This window comes from Homo sapiens, chromosome 11 (assembly GCF_000001405.40).
Source record: "Homo sapiens chromosome 11, GRCh38.p14 Primary Assembly".
NCBI lineage: Eukaryota > Metazoa > Chordata > Mammalia > Primates > Hominidae > Homo > Homo sapiens.
In genome coordinates, this window is record NC_000011.10 from 105,137,121 (window position 1) to 105,161,887 (window position 24,767).

Below are 24,767 nucleotides of genomic sequence, written 5' to 3' on the forward strand. Positions count from 1 at the left end.
ATTATTTTCTCCGTAATTTATGGCTGACAAATTCAGAAAGGAGAGGAATCACATTAAGTTTTATTTTAGTTTGCTAAAGAGCTTGGAAAAAGTGCACAAACCTAAAAAATTCAGGAAATTCTTTTGGCCTTTGTTCCTGGCACCCAATGCTTTGTTAGCACCTATGCCAGAAATTTTAGAAATTGACATGAGCTAACAAATTAGAAGACATCCTGAGGCATCTAGAAGACAATGCTTCATTATTTAACACTATATACACAGGGAAAAGACAGCTTAAGCATAATTAATAGCCAGTGTTTTGCTCTGAAGGGTGCAAAGCGATGACATGCCATCACACTATCTTGACTCCACAAATCTCCATTCCTCAGACATTAAGTCATATCTTGTTTCACCCTGCCCATGTGGACTTGAAATGCTATCAGTGCTTTTATGAACAGTTTTTTTGTGGAAGCCTGATGTCTGGCAATGGAGTATCTGCCATGGATTTTTCTCTATTATTTTCCCAGAAAGGAAGTTGTGTTTATTTTGTTGAGTAATTGTCATAGACCTGGGTCTGAACAACTAGATGAGAACATTACAAAGAAGCAACGCTATTTAAAATTCTGAGCTGGGACTTCATTTTATTCCCATCACAGCAGACTCTCAGTGCTAAAAGCACCAAAGTAAGCTGTACATGTCTCTACAGGATTGCAAAGGAACTAAACAGAAAGGAAGGGAAAGGGAGGGACTTTCTTAATTACATTACAATCATCATGACCTTCATTATTATTGATGAATTATCCTCTGTTGGTATGAGGAGAGAAAGAATAAGAAGAAAGTAATATGAGAGAATGAAAGATTTATTGGAAATTGATGAAATTAATCAGGTTTGAAAAAAGCACTGTTGTTTTGTTTTGTTTTTTTCTTTCACGAGAATATCTTCTCCCTTGGAAGAAGCTCTGGGAAGTCTCTGAAGTGCTCCAGAGTTCCATCTTCTCTCTGTGGAGGGAGAAAAGTGGTATTGGAATGGGCCAGCTCAGATACAAGAGCCTGCATCAGGGCTCTTAGGAGGCCTAGAAATACAAAGGGATAGGCTACAGAGAATGGTCTGTAGACTAGCCCCATGCAAGTAGACCATATTACACAAAAGAAAAGGCAAAGGAGATGACTTCCAACGAGAATCCATATATAATTTCATGCAAATATAATTATTTAGTGCATATTTAATTTTATATACACACTCAATTTATTCTTTGACAATTCCATCATCATTGTATATTCTGAAAAGTACTTAATAGGGAGATGGGGTAAGAGCAGGGTGGTAGGTACAAAAAGAGCTTATACCTTCTCTTCTAATAAATACATGGGCTTCTTAGGCTCAAGAGGGAGTGATATTGTACATTGCTCCCCAGGACCATTAAAAGATTCAGGATAAAACATCTAGGCTCTTTAAATGAACTACAGTAATGATCTACCACCTACATAGAATTAGAGATGAGCTGTGGTCAGCAGGGAGTACTGAGAGAACAGGTACAAGGGACACAAAAACGTAGACAGAAGAGACATAAGCTAGAGCCATGCATAAAGGAATGGAGTCTGAGGCTAAAATGATAGGAACCCTATTATCAACTGACAAGACAAGTGAAGAAAATCATAACTGAATTCAAGATACAGGGCCTATTTGGACATTAGGTTGAATCATTCCACCTTACCTTAGTGCAAACCCATCTTTGAGGCAAGTTGAGGGTCTTCTTCACAGAGATGCTTGATAAATTTGCAGCAAGACTTGGGTCCTTTTCCAGTAACAAGGTCAATCAAGACTCGAGCCTTATCCATGACAGTGTCATTTTCATCTCTCACTTTGTTCATGTCTTCCTGGCTAATAACTTCATCCTCTAATAGGCAATCCAGCAAGGCATTTATTGTGCCTGCACCCACTGAATGGATAAAAATTCTTCTCTTTTTACGCAAGAGTTGGTCTGTTGGAAGCACAAAGATTCCTCAAATAATGAACATGACACAATTTCCCTCTCAATTTACCAACAGGGTAACAATCATTTAAACATTTCTCTCCACAAGTACAGTAATCCCAAGGAACGGTCTTATACCTTTGCATTTACTCCACGTACTTCCTTCTGATTCTAGCATTACCTACATATGCTCACTGAGTGACCTGGGAAACTTGACTTCATGATTTTTCTGTGAATCTCCTAAAAATCAGAAGTCATTCTATTCTGACACATCCCAGTTTCTTGAATTTTGAAGGGAATTGACAGTTTCATGAATTTTGAAGGGAATTGACTGTTTCCTTTGAGAACAACAGCTACTGATACCCATCCTGTGCCCATTCTCATCCTGAACTACATAACTCTTCAAATGTGGACAACACTAGCAAAATTATAGCAGATACCAGTAGGATCCCAGATTCTTCCTGGCCTTTATCTGTTCCTTCAAAAACGCTGTGCAAGTCTGGGCATCTTCCCACCCTGCCTCTCCCTTCTTCTTTCTCTCTCCACCCCAAGGCTGCCCACACAAACCTTCACAAAGCCTAATGAGAAAGGCAGTCCTTTCCCAAACTAATTCCTCCCTAAGACCTATCCTCTTACTGGGGAAGACTCACCAGCCATGGCTCCTCACGTTGGCACTTGCAATGTGTGTTACACTTGCAATGACAGGCAAGGTAGCTCTATCCTTTTAGGCAGGGCGTGTACACAGATCAATGAACAATACTTACACCTACACATGTGTATTTATAATTATTGCCCAAGAAGCTGTTAACTATTGTCATTTCCCAAGGTATTTTTACACAATTGAATCTCAGATTGTAGCATGAACTGTGCCCATAAGAAAATTGCTTTACCATTCCTTGGTGGGTGAGAAACAAGAATAGGAGAGAATTGAGAAGGCACACACAGAGCTAAACACATGCAGTAAACAATCTTTAATTCACTGAGATTTAAATGGAAAGTAAAATCACAGTATAGGGTAGTTGTGCCACCTAAATCAAGTACTAAGAGTTCCTTTTTTAAATTGTGGTAAAATACACATAATATAAAATTTACCATCTTAGCCATTTTACAGTATCCAGTTCAGTGGCATTAAGTACATTCACATTGCTGTGTAGCCATCAATATCATCCAACTGTAGTTGTTTTCATTTTGGGAAATTGAAACTCTATACTCCTTAAACAGTAACTCTCTATCCTTTCCTTCCATCAGTCCCTGGCAACTAACATTGTACTTTCTGTCTTTATGAATTTGACTTCTCTAGGTATCTCATGTAAGTAGAATTATACAGTATTCATTTTTTGATGCCTGACTTATTTCACTTAGTGTAATGTCCTCGGTGTTTATTCATGTTGTGGCATGGGTCACAATTTCCTTTCTTTCTGAAGTTGAATAATACTCCATTCTATGTATGTACCACATTTTAGTTTACCCATTCTTCATTGAGCACAAATTTCTTCCCTTTTGCTATTGTAAATAACACTGCTATGAACATGGTATACAAATATGTTTTTGAGATTCTGCTGTCAATTATTTGAATATATACCCAGAAGTGGAACTGACAAATCATAGAGTAATTCTATTTCATTTTGTTTTGTGAAATCGGTATGCTGTTTTCCATAGCAGCTGCACTGTATTACATTCCCACATATAAAGCAGAAGCGTTCCAGTTTTTCCATGTCCTCACCAATACATATTATTTTTCTGTTCTTTTGATAATAGCCATCCTAATGGGTGTGAGATGGACTAAGACTTCTTACCTTCCTTTCATTGTTTTTTACCTAAGCTCTAGGCAGTCTCCAGACGCAGAAATGGTGTATGAAGCAGTTTTGCTATTTGGAATAAAAGTGCTTTGTTACGTAAGGCTCTTTTTCTTCAGATGGCACCATTTTAAGTAACACTGTATTACAAAGATTAAGGGCACAGACTCTGAAGCCAGAATGGTTGGATCCATATTTTAACTGCTGATCTTAGGAAAGGAAATTAACCAAGCTTTAGTCTTCCCATCTGCCAGATAGGTTTGATGATAATTCCTACCTTGCAGTTTTATTGCAAGTATTTAATGAACAAATATAAGTCATTAAAATAGCCCCTGGCATAAAGGAAGCACCTCAATTATTATATATGTCCATGTAAAATCCCCTATTCATCTCATCAATTCATTCAACATAAATATTCAGCATAGTTATTTACTGAGACCCAAGTCTATGTGCCATACATTATTATAGATGCTGGGGATGTAGTAATGACCAAAAACAGACAAAAATTCCTACCCTATTAGAAGTTGTATGATAGTAGGAGAGACACATATACTCATTAAATGTATACAAAATATTTTAAGAGTTCTTTAAAGAAAAATATTCTCAGAAGATTGGGGGAATCACATCTTTGGTAAAATATTTGTATTAGCTTATATATGTGACATAATTTGATAAATATTTAAAATCTGGGCAAGGTGCTACAGCTTATGTGCCCATGGGCCCAGGAATACACCAAATGAGGTGAATTGGAGAGGGGAGGCTGTGCCTATCTGGTAAGGGTAGTCCTCTCTGAAGGGGCAGGGCTCCTCAGACCCAACTAATTTTGGCTAAGAGAATGAAAATTCAGTTTACTTTTTCATTTTAAGGGTACTTTATCTCTAATTTTAAAAATACTTTCAGTTGGTTTACTATTGTTTTAAAACACTGTGAAAATTAAACAAAGCTTGCCTGTGGTTCACATTTTACCTGAAGTCTGCCAATTTGCTTTCTGCTTTCTTGGCAAATAATTGCATTTATTTTCTTGGGAATAGACATTTCTATCTTGGTAGTATATAGTCAAACATTGTGGAGATTTTAATCTTTGACTTCTTTGACTTTTTTTTCTTTTTCTCCCTACTTTTCCAATCTAGCTTATAGCAGGCTCTGTGTCCTCTTGCTTTAGGGAATATTTATGGCAGGATAGAAATTAGAGATGGTCTGAATGAAACTGGGATCTGGAACAAGAAGAAGACAAATCACAGAAAGAATGGAACATCACTGTGGAAATCACAGAGAGAAGAATATTATCCTGGTTCTCCACCAGCCAGGAAAGCACACCATTCTATGGAAGTACAGGAGATGGTGCCTGACAATAGCTGGTGGCCAACTGATACCTCTAGAAAGCAAAACTGTAAGCACGAGGATTCCCAAACTCACATATGCTTCCCAGATCTCTCAAAGCTAAGCAGAGAACTCTTAGATATGCCACTCTATTGCTGACTTCAAAATGAAAGTGCCCATGATTATAATGTTTGAATGGAAAAGGCAGGATTTCCTTTTCCTGTTTTTCTGGAAAACACTCAAGTATGTGTAAGCCTGGTAAGACTACAAGAAGAGAATAGAGACCTCATAATAACTAAAAGTGGAATTATCTACTACCCTATTTGTAAAGGCACTTACTCCAGAATATAATTTGAATTGAGATATAATTATCATAAAATAAATAAATTACATGATAAGCAACAGGTAGTGTTTTAAAGGATGAGTGATGACTTGAAAATTTAGATCTAGGCTCGTTTCAGATTTCTGGAATTTTATTTGCACTAGCAATTCAGATTTGTCATTAGGAAAAGAGTATTTGTTACTTTTGTGGGAGTAGGGAGCAGTTATGACATGAAAGCATAAGTTATCTAGTTGCCACCTTTACTTATGTCATTTATAACTCTTTGAAGATACTCAATGTTCCATCTTTCATTCCTCTGTTCTTGGGTATAAACATTCTGGAACATATCTAGTGACTATACATTAGTGGGAGCACAAATCAAATGTAAGATTTTTTTTTTCAGAAGCCTTCCCCTCTTCCCAGATTTGGAGTCAAATCACCCATTCAAGTGTACTTTGTTAGTTGCATGAGATGATGAATGACTTAGTTAAAACTATCTAAGCCTCAGTTTCCCCATTCAGACACTTCCCGCATCTATATCATTACTATTCCTAGATTTATTATGACTATTTAAGATAATGTATATAAAATCATTGCCTGGCCATATCTAAAAGAGGCTGCTCTTAAATTAGCAATAGTCTTGAAGGAAGAAGGTACCCTGGTACCTTATATTTCTTTATAAAATGCTTACAGATTTCTCTATAGTAGACAAGATGAAATATATGTCCATTTTATGAAAAATACTAATTACCAGAGGTTCAGAGATGCACCTGGCACAAGGGGCCTCTCACTCAATCCTAGGCTCTGTGTGATATGCTACATGTTCCTCATCCTAGCACTGTGGTTGATTACATGAAGAAAATCAGCTGGTAAAATAGGACTCAGTGCCTGCCCTTGAGGAATTTAAAATAATTTGGCACTGATAAGGCATAAACACAGGAAAATATTGTATGACAATACAGGAGAAAATGGACTAAGATGCTATGAGGTATCAGAGATGGGAGAATTAAATATAATCTGAAGCAATCAGGAAGATTTTACATAGGTAACATAAAATCTTCCCAGAATCTGCAGGATAAAAACGTTTAAATAAGCACTGAAAGAGGTTGCTAATTTGCTGATAGCTTGCCCTCTTCTAGGTAATATAGTAGGCTGTTTAACCAGCCAGACAACACTAGAAAAACAGCATTTGCATCCTAGCTTTGCAGATGAGGAAATTGACACTTCCAGAAAATGAACCTCTTACTCAAGATAATGAAGTCAAGGGGTGTGAAAAATGTGATTTGATTACTTAAGTTGAAAGACCACAACGGTGTATCTGTACAAAGTAGAGCTGAGAGACCTGGACAATTCAGACACTGAGAATAATAGGAACAAAATTAAGAGGAGCAAATCATGGGAATGAAGGAAAGGACATAAAGCCTTTTTATTTATTTATTTTAGATTCAGGGGGTGTATGTGCTTGTTTGTTACATGAGTATTACATGGGTAATGGTGGAGATTGAGCTTCTAATGTATCACCCTAATAGTAAACATTGTACCTAACAGGTAATTTTTCAACCCTCCCACCCTTTCCTATTTTAGAATCCCCAGAATCTATTTTCTCCATCTTTATATCCAAGTGTCCCCATTGTTTAGCTCCCAACCTCTATAGAAAACTCAAATAACTGAAAATAGAACTCTATAGATATCCCAAAGAACTAAAAATAGAATGACCATTTCACCCAGCAATTTCACTACTCGGTATCTACTCAAAAGAAATGAAATCATTATATTAAAAAGACACTTGCACATATATGTTTATCCCTGCACTACTTACAATAGCAACCTAAGTACCCACCAACAGTTGATTGAATAAAAAAGTGATATATATATATATATATATATATATATATATATATATATGAATACTAAATGCTATACAACCATAAAAAAGCATAAAGTCCAGTTCTTTGCAGTAACATCGACGGTCATTATCTTATTATCTTCAGTGAAGTAACTCAGACACAGGAAGTCAAATACCATGTGTTCTCACTTATAAATGGGACCTAAACAATGGGTACCATCGACATACAGAGTGGTGTAATAGACAGTGGAGACTCCAAAAGGTGACAGAATGGATGAGGTTTGAAAAAAAATACTTATTGGATACAATTTCACTATTCAGGTGCTGGGTGCACTAAAACCCCAACTTCACCACATTGCAGTATATTCATGTAAGAAATATCAGTTGTACCCCTAAGTATATAAAAGTAAAAATAAAAAAATTAAAAATAAAAATCCTATGTTTAGATGATTGGTGGTGTAGATATGAGGGGAAAGAATTTAGCTGGATTACTAGTTAATGTAATAGTTAAAGTTTATTTTAGAATAAAATTTTGAAACATGTGGTTACATGTAAGCAAACTAAAATATATCTATGGCACAAGATAATAAATACTACTGGTGTAAATAGAGTGAATTTCTGACTCTAAACTTCTTATGCATATTTGGAAGGATTTTGAGCAGAGAAAATTTAATTTGTTAGCTTAAGTACTTGAAAGAGTGACTCATCTAAATTCCTATGCATGAAATGTCATTGCCTATGAGTTGCATTGCTCAGTGTTTGAATGTGGTACAATAAGAGTACTGTCAATTTAAGTGTAGGCTAAACCCTCGTGTACCTCATGCTAATAACAGATCGATCCAAGTTAAAGTAGATGCATATAAGTCACTCAAATAACTGGTTTCACCATAGTTAATACTATTTTCTAAATGACAGTCATCTGTAATGATGAATAACCTGCTCATGTGCTTTCTTGGGTTAGTACATGTAAATTAATAGCTTCTTGAAAGTTGCTATACCAACAGTATTTAAATCCTTACCTCTTGCATTATAGAAACTATACTTTGATTTGCTTACCTTTTTTTATCTCTAATTCACTTTATTGTGATATAATTTACATGCGCTTATGTAAACCCATTTTTTGTGTAAAGTTCAAAGTGCTTTGCTAAACGTGCACATTGCCAAAGTCTACTTATAGAATATTTACGTTATCTTAATAAGTCCAATTTCAGTCAGTTATAGAAAACCTAAGGTCAAGGAAACCACTGATGTGATTACTAACTATCACCAGGGATTAGCTTTGCTTGTTCTTTATTTTCATATAAATGGGATCATACGGTATGTACTGTGGGTGTAAGTTTCTCCTCAACTCTGAGTCTACCAGGTTCTACCTTGCTTCTGCGTCTCTGTGCTGTGCCCTGTAATCCCCCTCAAGATAATTACAGGGCTCACTCATGTTTATTTTCCAGGGATCAGTATTCCTCATTGTTAAGCAAATTGGAAGCTGCTGCTTCATATATTTTGTCTGTTTTTGTTTGTTTTAGACAAGAGTGTAAATCCAGTCTCTATTAAGCCATGTTGACAGAAAGTAGACGTCTCACGTCCTTAATTTTAACTATAAATTTTCACCTCGGGTTTCATGTACTACAGCCTAACTTTAGAGACATTCCTTCTTTCCATTCTCATAAAGACCTCTTCCTCTCAGTCCTCTGAAATTTCAGTCTCAAGGTTTTGTTCCATAAAACCTTATTTCAGATTCTTCTTTCACTCACTTGCCACTTCCTTCCTTATCTCTTCCATTGGCCAGTAAATATTTCTGTTTTTACGCCAATCAAAAATAGACACAATTTACCCTATTTCATCAAACTTTGACTTTATGAACAAACACATCTAACATAGAATTTCTTCTGTGTTCTGTTTTACAGAACCCTGTTATTCTTTTCCCTAGAATTTGGAGATAACCTATTTTTGAGTACTGCACTTTGTACCATCTATAATTGCTGCTGGAATTTTAGTTATAAAAGCAGGGACTGGCCGGGCACAGTGGCTCATGCCTGTAATCCTAGCACTTTGGGAGGCCAAGGTGGGTGGATTGTCTGAGCTCAGGAGTTCGTGACCAGCCTGGACAACACGGTGAAACCCCGTCTCTACTAAAATACAAAAAATCAGCCCGGCGTGGCAGTGTGCACCTGTAGTCCCAGCTACTCAGGAGGCTGAGGCAGGAGAATTGCTTGAACTTGGGAGGCAGAGCTTGCAGTGAGCTGAGATCGCACCACGGCACTCCAGCCTGGACGACAGAGCAAGACTCTGTCTCCAAAAAAAACCAAATAAAATAAAAAAAGCCAGGACTGTGTCTGTTCATTTTTACTACATTATCTGGATCAGAACGTTTCAGTTCTTGTTTATACAGGAACTCAGTAAATATTTATCAAAAAATTTTTACACCAAATGTTTTCCACAATCTAAATATATAATCGACTATTATTCCACATCACAGGTTATCTTCACAGTTTATTTTTTTCTCTATGAGGAAAAAATATTTGTATCTCTTTTATCTCTCAGATTTTTAATATTTCAATACATATATTCAGCATGTATTGACTTTCTTTGCTATCAGAACTTAGTGTTTGGGTATAATTAAAAAGCAAAACATAGCACAATGTGAATAATTTACATAAAATATGTTTGTGTATCATTTGTGTAAAATATGTAGGTGGCTTATCATATACATTTGTTTTGGCTTGTATGAATAAATAAATGAATGTAACATATAATATGGGTCTTACAAATATTTCCACAAGGTAACAACAACAAGAATATATTTGGAGTTACTTTATGAGTTGTGTGATGAAGAGCGATCCATGTGCACTTCTCCAGAAAATGTTATTTTTGAATAAAGGAAATAATAAATCCTAAATAAAGAAAATAATAAATGCTTTATCCTTTTTTTAAAAAAAAGTCGAAGATTGTAAATAACAAATTAAATCAAGTAGGAAAAATAAAGGCTCAAATTTCTTTGTCCATATAAAAAGAGTAACATGATGGGCTTAGATTATTATAAAAGACACATGCAAAGGTTGTAGCATCACGGGTGAAGGAATAGGGCTCTAGAATCATAGTTCTGTAATTCAGAAGGCAAAACTATTATTTTATATTTGATACTATGTCATGTTTCCTAGAAAATATTATTTTATTTGATCTTCAAAATTTACTCAAGGCAGAACAGCTGCAAAGTGATACAGTAGCAACTGAACCCACATTTGTGCTGAAGATTCTTCTATACCTTCCTACAGATGCCCTTTTCTGATAACAGACCAGCCAGTAGGTAACACTGAGGATGCTTTACCTCAGTTAACATTGACTGGTCCATTTCCCATAGCAGTCATGGACAGAGACTACATTTGCTAAGGCACATTGGGGCTAAATATTAAATATGTCTACATGTCTAGACAAAATAATTAAATAAATAATATATTAAATAAGAATAAGGTTTTGCTTGAGCATTTTAGAAATTCTGTCTGCTCTGCCCAGGCCTTGAACACCACTTGAAATACTCTACTCTCTACTATACTATCTCCTTTTAAAAATTATATTACCTTAAATAAGATGATTTGGGGAATTGGTCTTTTATATATAGTGCTATGTATATATATATTTCAATTTTTTACCCATTTAATACATATGATACTTGTATGATGTGGATAATATTATTAATCTCATTTTACAGATAAGAAAAATGAAGCACAGAGCTTGAACACCTTCCCAATGTCACAAAGCAAGGAAGTGGCAGAGCCAGAATTCAAATCCAGGTGGCCCAGCTGCAGAATCTGGTTCTTCATCATTATTCCAGACCGTCTCTCAGAACCTGGTTGTAGAAAAGATGACAGGTGTCCGGCAAATTAAACTCTTACTAGAGCTTGATACAGTCTATTGATCGTTAGCGTTAGCTTAGTGTTATTATCTTATACAGCCCTGAAAACAGGTTCTGTGCCACATGTTTCCTTTTGTATTTTTTATACTGCACCCTCACAAGTGAGCTAGATAGCAAAGGCAAGTAATAGCTTCTTCACCTCATGAATAATGAGCCTGCATACTTGCCAAGAGATGAGATGAATCAGAATGAGAGTCCAGTTTTTCTCATCCCTAGGCCAGCTCTCTCTAGTATCACAAGCCATCTTTCTTGTGAGCATTGCGCCAAGTCTTCTGAGAAGACAAGAAAGGTAATATTGACGGGAGAGGGAGGTCTGCTTTCAAAACGCTAAGTGTAGACTGAAGGACAAAAGCATAAACACAGGGGAAAATATATGACAACAAAAGAGAAGTCGAAAATCCTCTAAAGGGCAAGACAAGCTAAGAGTGCTATAAATGGACTTTAGAAAAACATGGATTTAAAAGTGCTCAGGGATTTAAAGAATGACAGGGTTTTGAACACACAAATGAAGAACAAAGGGGACTATATTTAAGGAGAGCCTACTGTGTGCCAGGCATTGTGGTGAGTGCTTTATGTACAATGGGCATTGTTCACTCAGCACCACAGTGAAGAAGATGTTAGTGCTATATTCCCATTTTACAGATGGCAAACTGGCCTCACCCACATTAAAACTCCTGCATGAGGTCACATTGTTAATCTCCAGTGGATATCAAACTTAAGTTCACTCTTCCAATTGCAAAACCCAAGCTATTTCATGTGCAAATACAAGAGACGGAAAGACATTTCATGCCTATAGAATGGCATAAAAATTGAAAGCACAGAAATCGGAATGCAAACCATAAAAACAAAATTATCTAGATAAATTGGTTTCTTTACAAGGCACTTATCACTAACTGATACTTTCTTTCATTTATTTATTTGTTATCTATCTAGTTCTACAAAATGGGCTTCTAGAAATAACAACTTGTCCATCTTCTTTGCTTCAATACCCACATCACCTAAAACAATGGTCACATCACATTAAACAAATGTCATCAGTATATATTGTAAAATATAAATGATTTAGAGTGAAAGGAAGAATATATATCAAATACAGCAAATGTATAAATGAAAATTAATTTAGAAAAATATTTGATAATATAGGACAATCAGTTTAAAATGTGAAATTAAATGGAGATAAATGTCAAAGAATATGAATTACTGAGTTAATCATAACACATTTCTTCATTTATTTTCATCCATTAAATACTTATTTATTGAGTATCTAATAAATATCAGGTAACTGAATTAGAATATAAGGATTTATTAGTAAAACAAAAATACAGTATTAACCTTGTCCATAAGGACTTTTGCTGACTAATAGAGAATGTGGCCATGTGAGTTAGTAATTAAACCACAATTGAAGTTACAAAATTAAAGTCTGCATGGCTGGGAGGTAATGCATGTAATCCATTGCTCCTCTACTAGATGAACAGGTCTGGCAATAGCTTATTTCAGAGAACAAAAGCCTCAGGTTATTTCATTCTTTCATAAGTTTAATGTGGACCAGAACAATTTTAGATTGTATACATCTTAATTCACTCAAAAATATTTATTTTGACACTACTAATTACATATTATACTCAGTGAGAATAGTATAAGTCAATAAGAACATAGAGTCTTGACTTCATAAAGCTTACATTCCAGTAGAGAAGAGGGACTTAATAAGTCCACAGACCAATAAATAAAATACTTGCAAGTCATAATGCATACCATGAAGAACACATATGTGGACAGGTGGGTTAATTTACTACTGCTTTTATAACACATTATCACAAATGTAGTGACTTGACACAACACAAATTTATTAGCTTATAGTTTTGGAAGTCAGAGTCTGAAATGGGTTTCACTGGGCTCATATGAAGGTGTTGGCAGGGCTGTGTTACTTCTGGAGGCTCTAGGGGACAATTCTTTCTCTTACATTTCCTGGTTTTTAGAGGCTACCCAAATTTTTTAGCTCATGGCTCTGTGTCATCCTGATCTATGCTTCTGTTTTCACATCTTCTTCTTTACTCTTTTGCTGCCATCCTTCCCTTATAAAGACTGTTGGGATTAAATTCAGTGCATCTGGATGATGCAGGGTATTCTCTCTATCTCAAGAGATTTCATCATATCTGCAGTTTCTTTTGCCATGTAAGGTAATGTATTCACAGGTGCAGGTAATTAGGACATGGACAGGTCTGAGAGTCCATTATTCTGCCTACCATGGAGGTAATGTTGAGAAACAAGGCACTTGGGGCAGCAGAATTTCCATAAGAAAGTTCTCACTGAGTTGGTGATGCTATGTATTCTATAAAACAATTAAAGGGAAAACACCATTTCACTAATTCTGGGACTACCTAAATCATATCTAGAACATTTTCTTTTATTTTTGGATGTCAATTTTAAATAATTTTTGGCAAACTACAGAATATACAATTTTCAAATCTGAAAAATGAAGACATAAGGAAATTGCAATATGTGATAGAATAAGGTGACTTTGAGCCCATTTTAGAGTGGATTATAAGTTTAAAAGTATGTAATTATGTTATGATTATTGTCATCATTATTTTCAGCATGGAAGAAAAGAACTGCCTACATAAATTCAAATATAGTAAGTAATAGTGTTGGAATCTTAAATACGATGCGAAAATACAATTGCAAATTCATAATACCTCCAGTTTTAACAAAATATATATTTCCTATCTTTGTGAAAAAGGCCTAGAGTTATAACAGTCTAGTAGCAATAATCACCTCTAGTTTCCAATATAATTTCTAAAAACTATTTACCACTAAAGAAGGTAAGGGCTTCTTGGAGAAGTAGCTGATCCAAGGCAGGGGTCAGAAAATTTATGACATAAAGGTAGAATGTTTTCTTGAACCAGAAAGCAAGGAAGCTCTCATGGGTCATGCTATAGAGGCAAAAGAGCCAAAGTGAAGGACTTCCACTGAGCAAGATGGGGAAATTTTAACTTCAGAAAGAATGTCTTTAAATGATTATTAAAACACATAGGGTATATTAAAAGCAGTGAGTATGAACTAAGTTTCTTAGAGAGTATGAGAAACAAAACAAAACTCTTGAGAACCAGTAAAAGTTGCCAGGGCACCAATTAATTGATAATTAAAGTGAAATAATTAAGTCTTTATCTCGATCTTTTCATGTGAATTATATTTCTGAATTTGATAATTAAAGTGAAATGATTAAGTCTTTATCTTGATCTTCTCATGTGAATTGTGTTTCAGGCTAACAAAATTAGGAGCTAGTACATAAGGGAAAAATTCTTGTATTAAGAAGTCTAGTTAATTAATAAATGGATAAAAAATTAGAAAAAAACTATAATCTCACAGGTTGTAATGACAGATATGATCATGACAATGGCAATCAGTGAGTGGTAAAATCATTAGTAAAGGTTGACCAGGACCTTTATAAAGAAAGGATCAAGCTGAACCCACAGATTATTTCTTGTATCATTAAAGCTGAGACATTTCAGGTGTTATGTACCTTCTAGTATTCTACAGTATGAAGTAATCAGCATCACCTAAGAAGTAGTCTTGCAAAATAAAATTAGCCTGAATCTAATCACAATTTTAGAAGTAACTTTCAGGCCAGGCGCGGTGGCTCACACCTGTAATCCCAACACTCTGGGAGGCCAAGTCAGGTGGATCACCTGAAGCCAGGAATTCGAGACCAGCATGTCTCGATACAGTAAGCCAAGATAAATATATTACAAAGACAGAAAAGTATTTTTTAATAAATTTGGTATTGTCTAAGTGTATGTTTATAAAGTTTGTAGTAGTTTACGGTAATGTCCTAGGACTTCACATTCACTCATTACTCATTCTCTCACTGACTCACACAGAGCAACTTCCCGTCCTGAAAAGTTCATTTATCGTAAGTACCCTGTAAAGATGTACCATTTTTTATCTTTTATACCATGTTTTACTGTACGTTTTATATGTTTAGATACACAAACACTTACCATTGTGTTATAGTTAACTGCAGCATTCAATACAGTAACATGCTATACAGGTTTATGGCCTAGGAGCAATAGGCGATACTGTACAATGTAGGTGTGTAGTAGGCTATGCACTCCATAATACTTGCACAATAATGAAATTGCCTAATGACACATTTCTCAAACATATCCCTGTCATTAAGTGATGCATGGCTTTGTAAAGGAACGATTGAATAAATAAATAAATGACAGAAAAGTTCAATGCCCCTTTTAGAAAAACACAAATAGTATATGTAATTAGTCCTTTCTCAGCACACTTCTCCTTTGTGTTCTCTTTCCTCAAAATTCACAATCTAAATATGAGGAAGCATCAGACAAACTTTGATGAGAGACATTCTACAAAAATCCTCTTCTAAAATGTCAAGGTCATAAAAATCAAGGAGATACAGAAAAACTGTCACAGACCAAAGACTGAGATATGACAACAAGGGGCAGTGTGGCATCCTGGATTGGGAGTGGACACTGATAAATCACGTGGTGCTGAGGGTAGCATGACTCAAATTCTAAATCTGGTTTCATGATATCCATCACTCTTTGAGAGAGAACGGAGAGCACCCAAGCAGATGTTCAAATAGAGATACGTAAAACATAGTGACACAATTAAATCTTTGATGACGGTGTCCTCCTTAAGTTTAATTTCATGGGTTGTAAATAACGTATATCTAGAAACTTTGCCCAACATTCCAATAAATCCAAATTTAGTTCTTTCTCTCTTTTCATAGTTTTATTTTTTATAATTATTATTCTGACATAGGGCTCTAGGGCATTAATGTGGCCACATGCACCAGTGGTTTAAGAAAGTGACTGTCTTGAGAATGAAGCTTCCTTCTGTTCCTTCAATGAGCCCAGAGGACCAAGGAAAAGTGTAGAAGTTCAGAAAGCATAGCCTACTCACGTCATTTCTGCATAAAGGCTCCTAATTTTCTCATTCCACTTGTAAGATTTAAACTAAAAATCTATGCAGCTCCATTTAAAAACATGTTTACAAATGCCAATACTTTCTGTTTCTTAAATCAAAATCAGCTTGTTTAATACCACATTCCAAAATAAGAGTTTTATCTCATCTTCCATCCCCTGATTCTGATTTTTTTTACCTTTTTTTTGGGAGGGGGACAAATTCTTACTGCGTGTTTGGAATAATGCAGTCTACATTGTTGCCATAACTGGCTTGCTTCAACTATCCCCTGTCTCTAAGCATATTTGACTTCATACTCTTTGACCTAGGGCGTTCTCCTACTGAGTTTGGTATGAAGATCACAATTGAAATTCGATTCCCCTGATTTCCCACACTCCACTGGGTCATGTGATTAGATATAGCAATCAACTTTCCTTGCAAAAGCAGGCAGAAATGTACATCTGTCTGTTTTGAAAACCCCCGTGGACCTCCAGACGTGTGTACATCTTGAGGAATTAAATATTCATATTAGGCCGGCGCGGTGGCTCAGGCCTGTAATCCCAGCACTTTGGGAGGCCGAGGTGGGCGGATCACGAGGTCAGGAGACCGAGACCATCTTGGCTAACACGGTGAAAAACCCTGTCTCTACTAAAAATACAAAAAATTAGCCGGGCATGGTGGTGGGCGCCTGTAGTCCCAGCTACTCAGGAGACTGAGGCAGGAGAATGGCGTGAACCCAGGAGACAGAGCTTGCAGTGAGAGGAGATCGCGCCACTGCACTCCAGCCTGGGTGACAGAGTAAGACTCCGTCTCAAAAAAATAAAATAAAATAAATTATTGATATTAGAACAATCAGCTACCTACTGTTTTTACTTTTTACTTTATTTTATTTTATTTATTTATTTATTTATTTATTTATTTATTTATTTATTTATTTATTGAGACAGAGTCTCACTCTGTCGCCCAGGCTGGAGTGCAGTGGTGCAATCTCGGTTCACTGCAACCTCCGCCTCCCGGGTTAAAGCGATTCTCCAGCCTCAGCCTCCCAAGTAGCTGGGATTACAGGTGCCTGCCACCATGCATGATTATGTTTGGTGAGGAATAGTGTTAGAGACAAAATTTTTGCTGCTTCCAATTTATTTAGACGCTTATATAGATACATCTTGTAATTTTTACACGAATATGTACAGTGAAGCAGGGTGATTAGCCAATCCTGAAACATTTTTTTCTTCCCTCAAAGGGGCCATGAGTTAATGTCTGTGTCTCCAATTTAATTCTGTTTTGTTTGATCTTGTTCTAATATGAATGAAAGCTCGTTAACCAATTTCTACTATTTTCTGCTCTACTAGATCTATCAAGTTACACATGGTCATATCAATCCATAATCTTAGAGTATCCCTCAGACTTAGGATTACTTATTTAATCATTTACTTTTCCACTTATGTGCTTATTTATCATTTTATGTCTGAAATTAGCATCTCAGAAACGGCCCCAAATTGTAGAAGTATAGGTGATATTTTTTCCTGGTGTTAACCTAAACGTTAATTGCTTAAAAATAAAAAAAAAAAAACAACACTTCCCCAAGTTAAAAAAAAAAAAAAGTCTTTCATAAACTGAAACCACTTGAAATATTACAGCAATTATCACTGGGCTAGGTCAAAGCAATGGCTATGATGAAAACAACCAAATAAGAGCCTGTGAGATTTCATTGAAAACATCCTTTTAAATTTTCACGGGCATGAGTATTGCTCTGTCTTTTTAGCTATTTAGCTTGAATATTTCACTTCACTTTAGCTAATCGAGTAAATGTAGCTGTTTATTATTTTAGTCTTTTAAGAGTTTGACATTTACAAAATCTAGTTAAGAATGACATGATGTACAACCACAGTAATAATAATTGCCGAATCTTTTCAGACTTTAATAAAAAGTTTAAGTGGATCAATTATTGCAGTCTCAATGTTTCACAGTCTTCCAACTCATAGAAGCCAGCATTATCTGCGGATTATGATATGTTCTGATGAGGAAGCCAGTATGCCTTGGTCTCTGCCCATGCCTGTGCTACAGCAGTGATCAGTGAACCTCCGGGGTTCAATTGATTCTCCTGCTTCAGCCTCCTAAGTAGCTGGGATTACAGGCATGCACCACCATGCCCAGCTAATTTTGTATTTTTAGTAGAGATGGAATGTCACCATGTTGGTCAGGTTGGTCTCGAAATCCTGACCTCAGGTGATCCACCCACCTTGGCCTCCCAAAGTGCTGGGATTACATGCATGAGCCACTGTGCATGTGTCTAGGTTGTGTCTAGGCTTTCTGTGCACCGTTTAGTCTGAGTCGGGGCTTGAACCCCTTGACCTACCATCTACTCTTTTTTTTTTTAATTTTTCAGATCCAAAAACCTTGGTACCACATTAAATAACTTTGACACTTTGGAAATATACACATGTAACTGAGTATTGTGTTGGCGTAACACATTTGAGAAATTTAAGCCTTGGCCAAAAGGTAAACCCTTACTTTTTCAACTCCCTTTAGAGATTACTGGGCTCCCCCGACTGGGCTAACAAAATAAGAAGGTAAGGAATTGTGCTTGAGCTCCTTTGTGTTGGCTTGGCTCTCTGAGTCTATCCAGCAGGATCAAGCAGGGGAGGTAGGAAAGCAGTGGTCAGACTCTGCCGAAAGACTGATAAAATTCCTTCAGAAACAGTTCTCAGGTTTCCCTCCGAGCAGCTCCCTCTACCTTCCATTGACTTCCAACACTTCTTCCAGAATGAAGCAGTAGTTGGGGGCATTTGTCTTCCTTCCTGTTCCTCGGCAAAGACAATCAGCAGCATCGGAATCATAGAAAGGGGAGAGGATCCTGGAGAGAGATTGAACACGAGCACTAGATACAAGAGGCTCATGAATTGGGTCAGAACTCACTGGAAGTAGGGGTCTATGCAGAGGAGGTTAGGTGTGGTACATCTGTGTGGAGTTTTACCCTGGATCCTCTTATCCTGTGGTTTTGCCCAGGCCAGTCTCCTCAGGTATCCTGTCAAGAGGTGAGAGGGAAGTTGAACTCTTGTTACATCACTGCCATTATCTACTCAAGCTTACATCATCATGTAGGGAGACTTTAAGCTGGTAAACGAGATGTTTGTGTTGGAGGCAATAATGCCAGCCTGTGGAGGGGACAGGCTTTACCAAAGAGCTAATGAAAGAGCTATTGTTCAGGCCCACCTGGCCTTGGCTCTGCTTTCTCCTCCAGAAGAAATCTTGATTGAAGCACCAGCAAGTATGTTTCTTGCCTTTGTCATTGTTTCCTGGGTATGCATCTCATTTGGCAATCTCACAGGAAGAAGGTGCGCTAGTGTCTTTGGCTGCATTCAGGCATTCCTATTTTTATTGTCTATTAGCATTATTGTCTTCAAATTGCAAGGAGCATTACAATACATACTGAAGGCTAGGTATTCACAAAAGCTGATTTAAATAAATTAGTTAAGTATTTTTATTATTAATCTGTTTTTCAGATAAGTAAACTTTGAGAGGAATACCAGGGAGATCCTGCTGTAGCCCTCTATTTTGGACACTTCCTGTATCAGGAAGTTTACAATTTGAGAAGCAAGATGTAGGAAAATCAAATTTTAAACAAGACTAATTACGAGAAAGATGCGGAAGATTTACTTTTCTTTTATACTTATTTTTTACAGACAGGATTTCCTCTGTCTAGGCTGAAGTATAGTGGTGCAATTATAGCTGAGTGCATCCCTGGACTCCTGGCCTCAAGAGATCCTCCCACTGGAGCCTCCCTCCTGAGTAGCTGGGACTACAGATGTGTGCCACCACGCCCAGCAAGATCCTTTATGATACATATACAAAACTGTCTCCTAGTAATTTCCGTGTTTTAAAACTTTTTCTGATATCCTAATTCATAAAATAGTGCCTCTTGTCTTTAGGAACTGTTCAAATATTTCAAGTAACTAGTGTCTCCTTAGGTATACCCTGAAATAAGCAACCCCACTCCCTTAACCCTCCTCATATGCACAGGGTCACATGGTGTGTAACAGGTGGAAACCAAATCAGACAGAACAGTCATCTGGCTCCTAACCCAGTGCTCTTTCTATGATCTCACAGCATCTCTGAAGGAACTTCCAGCATCCTGCCTCTATTTTACCTCAGGGATTTACTAGCATAATAAAGAGAGCCAGATTTAAAAGGATTCCCTTGTTAAAGCCACCATTATTTGTCCTGAGAAAGTCATAGCTGGAGGTAGTTCATTAGGACCTCTTTCTTGATTGGGATCCTGAGGGCAGAAAAGTGCTGGAAGAACTGGTTCTTGACATGGTAGAACCTCAGCTCTTGGTGGCGACATTCAGGTTGTGACAGCTACATGTTGTGCTCACTTCAAATTAAACTCTGTGCTATAGATTAAACGCCATACTCAATGAGGAAACAGGACTTAAATCATTCAAATGTGAATTGTGAATAACGAGAAATAATTATTTATTTATTTATGTACATTCTAAAAACCTAGAGCACAGTTCAGAAAATGATTAGAAGACAGCAGTCTCTAAGCAAGTACATTTCATGGTGGCTCATGAGCTGCACCTGGTTGACTCCTCTCACTTAGCCCAATAAGTTGCTAAAGCAAGGAGCTAGCTCAGCTTTGTACCTCTCTCTGGTGAGAGGACTAAAGTAAAGACACCCTGGATTCATTAGGATACACAGTTGGCTACTGGGCAGAGTCCACATATCAATGGCTTGAACAAAATGGAATTTTATTTTTCTCTCAACTAATAGTCTGAGCATTCTACACATAAGTGTTCCAGGCTTGTTACATTGGAGATTTGGGGATCCAGCCTTACTCCATTTTGTCATGGTGTAAGATGATTCCTTTAGCTTATGTCAACTTCCATTCATTCAAGCTGGAAGAAATGAAGCAAGGGAAAGAAGAGGCTATATTTCATGACGTTTGAATCAACGACAAGACATAGTACCCATAAATTTCACTAATTCCCTGTTGGACAAAACCTGGTCATATGGCCAAAGCTAGCTTCAAGTCAAGTGATAGGAAAAACAAACAAAAACTTTAGCTGGACTGACAGGTACCCAACTGAAAGTTCTGTTACTGTAGAAAAACGGGAGATGGATATTGGGGTGATCACCACAGTCTCTGTCACAGTCTTGGAAAGTGCCTGACAGATTTATCTCTGGCAACTTGAAGTGGTAGTAGACTGTTAAGTGACTTTGTCATCCAAAGAAATTTTTCTAGTTATTCTTGTCAGCTCTGATCCCATTTCTACATTCTATATGAATATAATAAGCATGTGTACTGATGTAGCTGTTGCCCTAGTATTCTGCTGCATAAGCTTGCATTTTAACTCTCAAATTTATCCCAGTTTAGTACAAAAATGATATGTCATCTTATCTGTGGCCTTTATGCAACACCATTTCCTACACCCCTGCCCTCCCACAGTTCCCAAGTTGTAAAGGGAAATGGAGTAACCATCTATGAGATGTAAACCTGCGGCATAATTTTTAGCTCTTTCCAGAGAAGCATGACCTTCTTATCAACAGAAAATTTTATTTATAGGGAAAAGAAATTTGCAGAAGTCCCTGTGCAGTGTAGTAGGCATCATAAGATCCTCACAATTAATTTTTTATTGAGTTAAGAAGGTTGGCAAGGTTATTTTCTTTCGAGAGAGGACATGGTTTTTATTTTTATTTTATATTGTTAAATGATCTTTTCTTTTTTCCCAATTTTTGTTTTAGATATAGGGGGTACATGTGCAAATTCATTACCTGGGTATATTGCATCACGCTGATGTTTGGGTTACAAATAATCCCATCTCCCAGGTAGTGAGCATGGTACCTATAGGTTAGTTTTTCAACCCTTGTCCCCATTTGCCCCCTCTCCTTTCTAGTAGTTCCCATTTTCTATTGTTGCCATCTTTATGTCTATGAGTACCCAAGGTTTAGCTCTCACTTACAAGTGAAATGTAGAGTATTTGGTTTTCTGTTTCTGCATTAATTCACTTGGGATAATGCCTTCCAGCTGCATCCATATTTATGCAGAAGACATGATTTCTTTTTTTTATAGATATATAACGTTCCATGGTGTATATGTGCCACATTTTCTTTATCCAAGAATTGGCAAATTTTTCAAAGGTAAGGCTTAGATTAAATTTTAGTGTATTTTTACACAAAGTTAATCAAGACTTTACATTAATATGGGCATAGAATGAATACTACGCTTGGATTTTGCCATTGCTGTCCTGAATAACACCTATCTACCAGTTTCTTAAAGTAATAGTTTTAAGATTTGACCTGCAAATTTGTACTCCTTTATCACATAGAAAGACATCTTACAAGGAGGTAGAGCTATCACAGAAGCTAAAGATATCATCACTTATATCCTGGGGCATTAGGATTTATACAGGCCTTCATGCATGTGTTCCTAAATCCAAATCAGATTCTCTACATTCCAGTTTCAGGATTCAAGTTGGCCTTCCTTTTTACCTAGAGTGATTGCAAGAAATTTCTAACAATTAGGCAACAATCATTGTCTAGAGAAATCACTGTTACTTAGCAAACAGGACATCTTCTATCATCAGGTCTCCTTTAGCTCTTTTGTTTTATAATGAATCAGTTTGTCACAGTTACTTGTCATATCTGAAGATACATACTATGGCCCAGGGAGAGCAAAAGTATATTTATATGATGAAGTGAATGTGTGACAAGACAATTAAAAAAAAACCTTGGAAGTATAGGAAAAGAGCAGACCCCAGTTGATTGTAAACATCAAAATAAGGAATTGGCGGTCAAGGCAAATACCTGGGCAAGATGAATTATCTACTAGACAGCTCTGCAGAAACAAATAACTTCAAAACCTCATAATCGTTTACTTCTTACTATACTCTTGTGTCTAAGGTAGTTTGTGATGGCTACCATGACATCCTTACTCTGGAACCTGGGCTGAAGGAGTAGCCTCTTTCTGGAATACTCTTTGTCATTATGAAAAAGAAAAAAATATATATTTTACTAATTATGCACAGGCACTTAAAGCTTTTTTGAAGTGATATCCATAATTTCAACTCACATTTTACTGATCAAAGCATGAAGGCTCCCAAGTTCAACATTATCTGGATATGCAATCCACTGGAAGGAGGAACAAGGCAGAGGAACCACTGACTAGGAATGAACCATGGGGACAAGGGAAATTTAGAGGACTTCACAATTATTAGTTAGAGCACTTCACAATTATTCTCCATGAGAATTGCTACCTAATAGTATTTGAGCTCACATTATATGACAGACCTTATGCTAACATTTTACAGACATTATTTTATGTAATCTTCACAACATTTCTATGGTGTAAACACTTTATTATGCTCATATTACAGATAAGAAAACCATGAGTGTAAGTAACGTGTAAAAAGTTCCTCAACAAATTAATAGCAGAGAGAGAACTCAAGCCTCGGGCTACCTGTTTCATAGTAACACTCTGTTCTTGAAGGGATAAAGGGATAAAGATACACAATTATGTGAGTCTTTGTGAATAAAAAAAAAACAGAGTAAGGATAAAGAAAAGATTTATAGCAATAAGATGAACACAAAGGCAACTGATTGACTAAGTTCAGATAGGAAGAGGACTTTTACTCTCCAGGAACTTTTGCATATATTAGGGATCCAGCTCCTTGCTTTCAAGCAAAGAAGCAAAGGATTAAAGAAAAGAAATGGATAATAGTGTTTAAAATGCCAGTGGAGTTCTATGTACTCTGTGGAAGAAGTAGCTGCTTTGAAAAAGGGCTGGTTCAAATCGAAGAACCTCAGACATGAGCCCCCAAAGGATCTTGGAACAGGTAAGTACCTAGAGAAACTACTATGACACATACCGGGAGAGAAAATGAGTGAGGACCTAAGGAGACACAGTGTCTCTACTTCTTTCATAATAGAAAGGTTATTGATTGGGAGAAACAGATGCCACGAACACCCACATAGACCCCAACTGGTCCCCAGTTTTCTCTCAGTTTGTTGATTGTGTCTCTTCATTTAATTCACATAGCAGTATGGCCCATGTCTTCTTCACATCTACACAGTTTATTGAATCTGTGAGTTGTTCACTTAATGTCACATTACTTCAGTTACACCTTAAACCTAAGATTTAAATGCCATCTATCATTGGCAGTTTGTTTCATTATGATTTTGCCACTACTAGTCTTTCTTCAACCCACCAAAGGCAATATGTTGGCGTTTAAAAAGAAAAAAAAGAAGTAAGATATATAGTTGGAGGATTGAAAGGAAAAGGCAGGTCAGCCTTTCTTTGCTCAGCTCCATCTTTAAAGTGACCAACAAAATACTTGTAATGTTTATTTTGTATCTGCACTATTGAGATTCCCAAGATGAGGCTTTCAAGGTATTTCTAAGGTTTGTAAAAGGGAAATATAGCAAATGCCGTGGTATGTGGATCACCTGAGGTCAGGAGTTCGAGACCAGCCTGACCAACAATGTGAAAACCCGTCTCTACTAAAAACACAAAAAATTAGCCAGGCATGGTGGCAGGTGCCTGTAGTCTCAGCTACTCGGGAGGCTGAGACAGGAGAATTGCTTGAACCTGGGAGGTGGAGCTTGTAGTGAGCCAAGATCATGCCACTGCACTCCAGCCTGGGAGACGAAGCAAGACTCCGTCTCAAAAAAAAAGAGAAGGAAAGAAAGAAAGAAA

The 24,767-nt window shown here is 36.7% G+C and overlaps 1 protein-coding gene and 1 long non-coding RNA gene across 2 annotated transcripts in view; both read right to left on the reverse strand.

Annotated features, from left to right (window-relative positions):
• Positions 1 to 593: 593 nt before the first annotated feature.
• On the reverse strand, positions 594 to 2,649 carry CARD18 (caspase recruitment domain family member 18). The gene is made up of 3 exons (NM_021571.4): positions 2,600 to 2,649; positions 1,692 to 1,958; positions 594 to 978 (listed from the first exon to the last, which is right to left on the reverse strand). Exons 1-2 carry the CDS (start codon positions 2,604 to 2,606, stop codon positions 1,693 to 1,695), a joined length of 273 nt encoding a protein of 90 aa, NP_067546.1. The 5' UTR covers positions 2,607 to 2,649; the 3' UTR covers positions 594 to 978; position 1,692.
• An 18,146-nt stretch (positions 2,650 to 20,795) lies between these two features.
• LOC105369468 (uncharacterized) overlaps positions 20,796 to 24,767 on the reverse strand; it is a 383,452-nt gene continuing 379,480 nt past the window's right edge. The window contains exons 5-6 of the long non-coding RNA XR_007062871.1: positions 23,145 to 23,236; positions 20,796 to 20,970 (exon numbers count right to left, since the gene is read on the reverse strand). This is a non-coding gene — a long non-coding RNA (uncharacterized LOC105369468). The remainder of the gene's footprint in view (positions 20,971 to 23,144; positions 23,237 to 24,767) is intronic.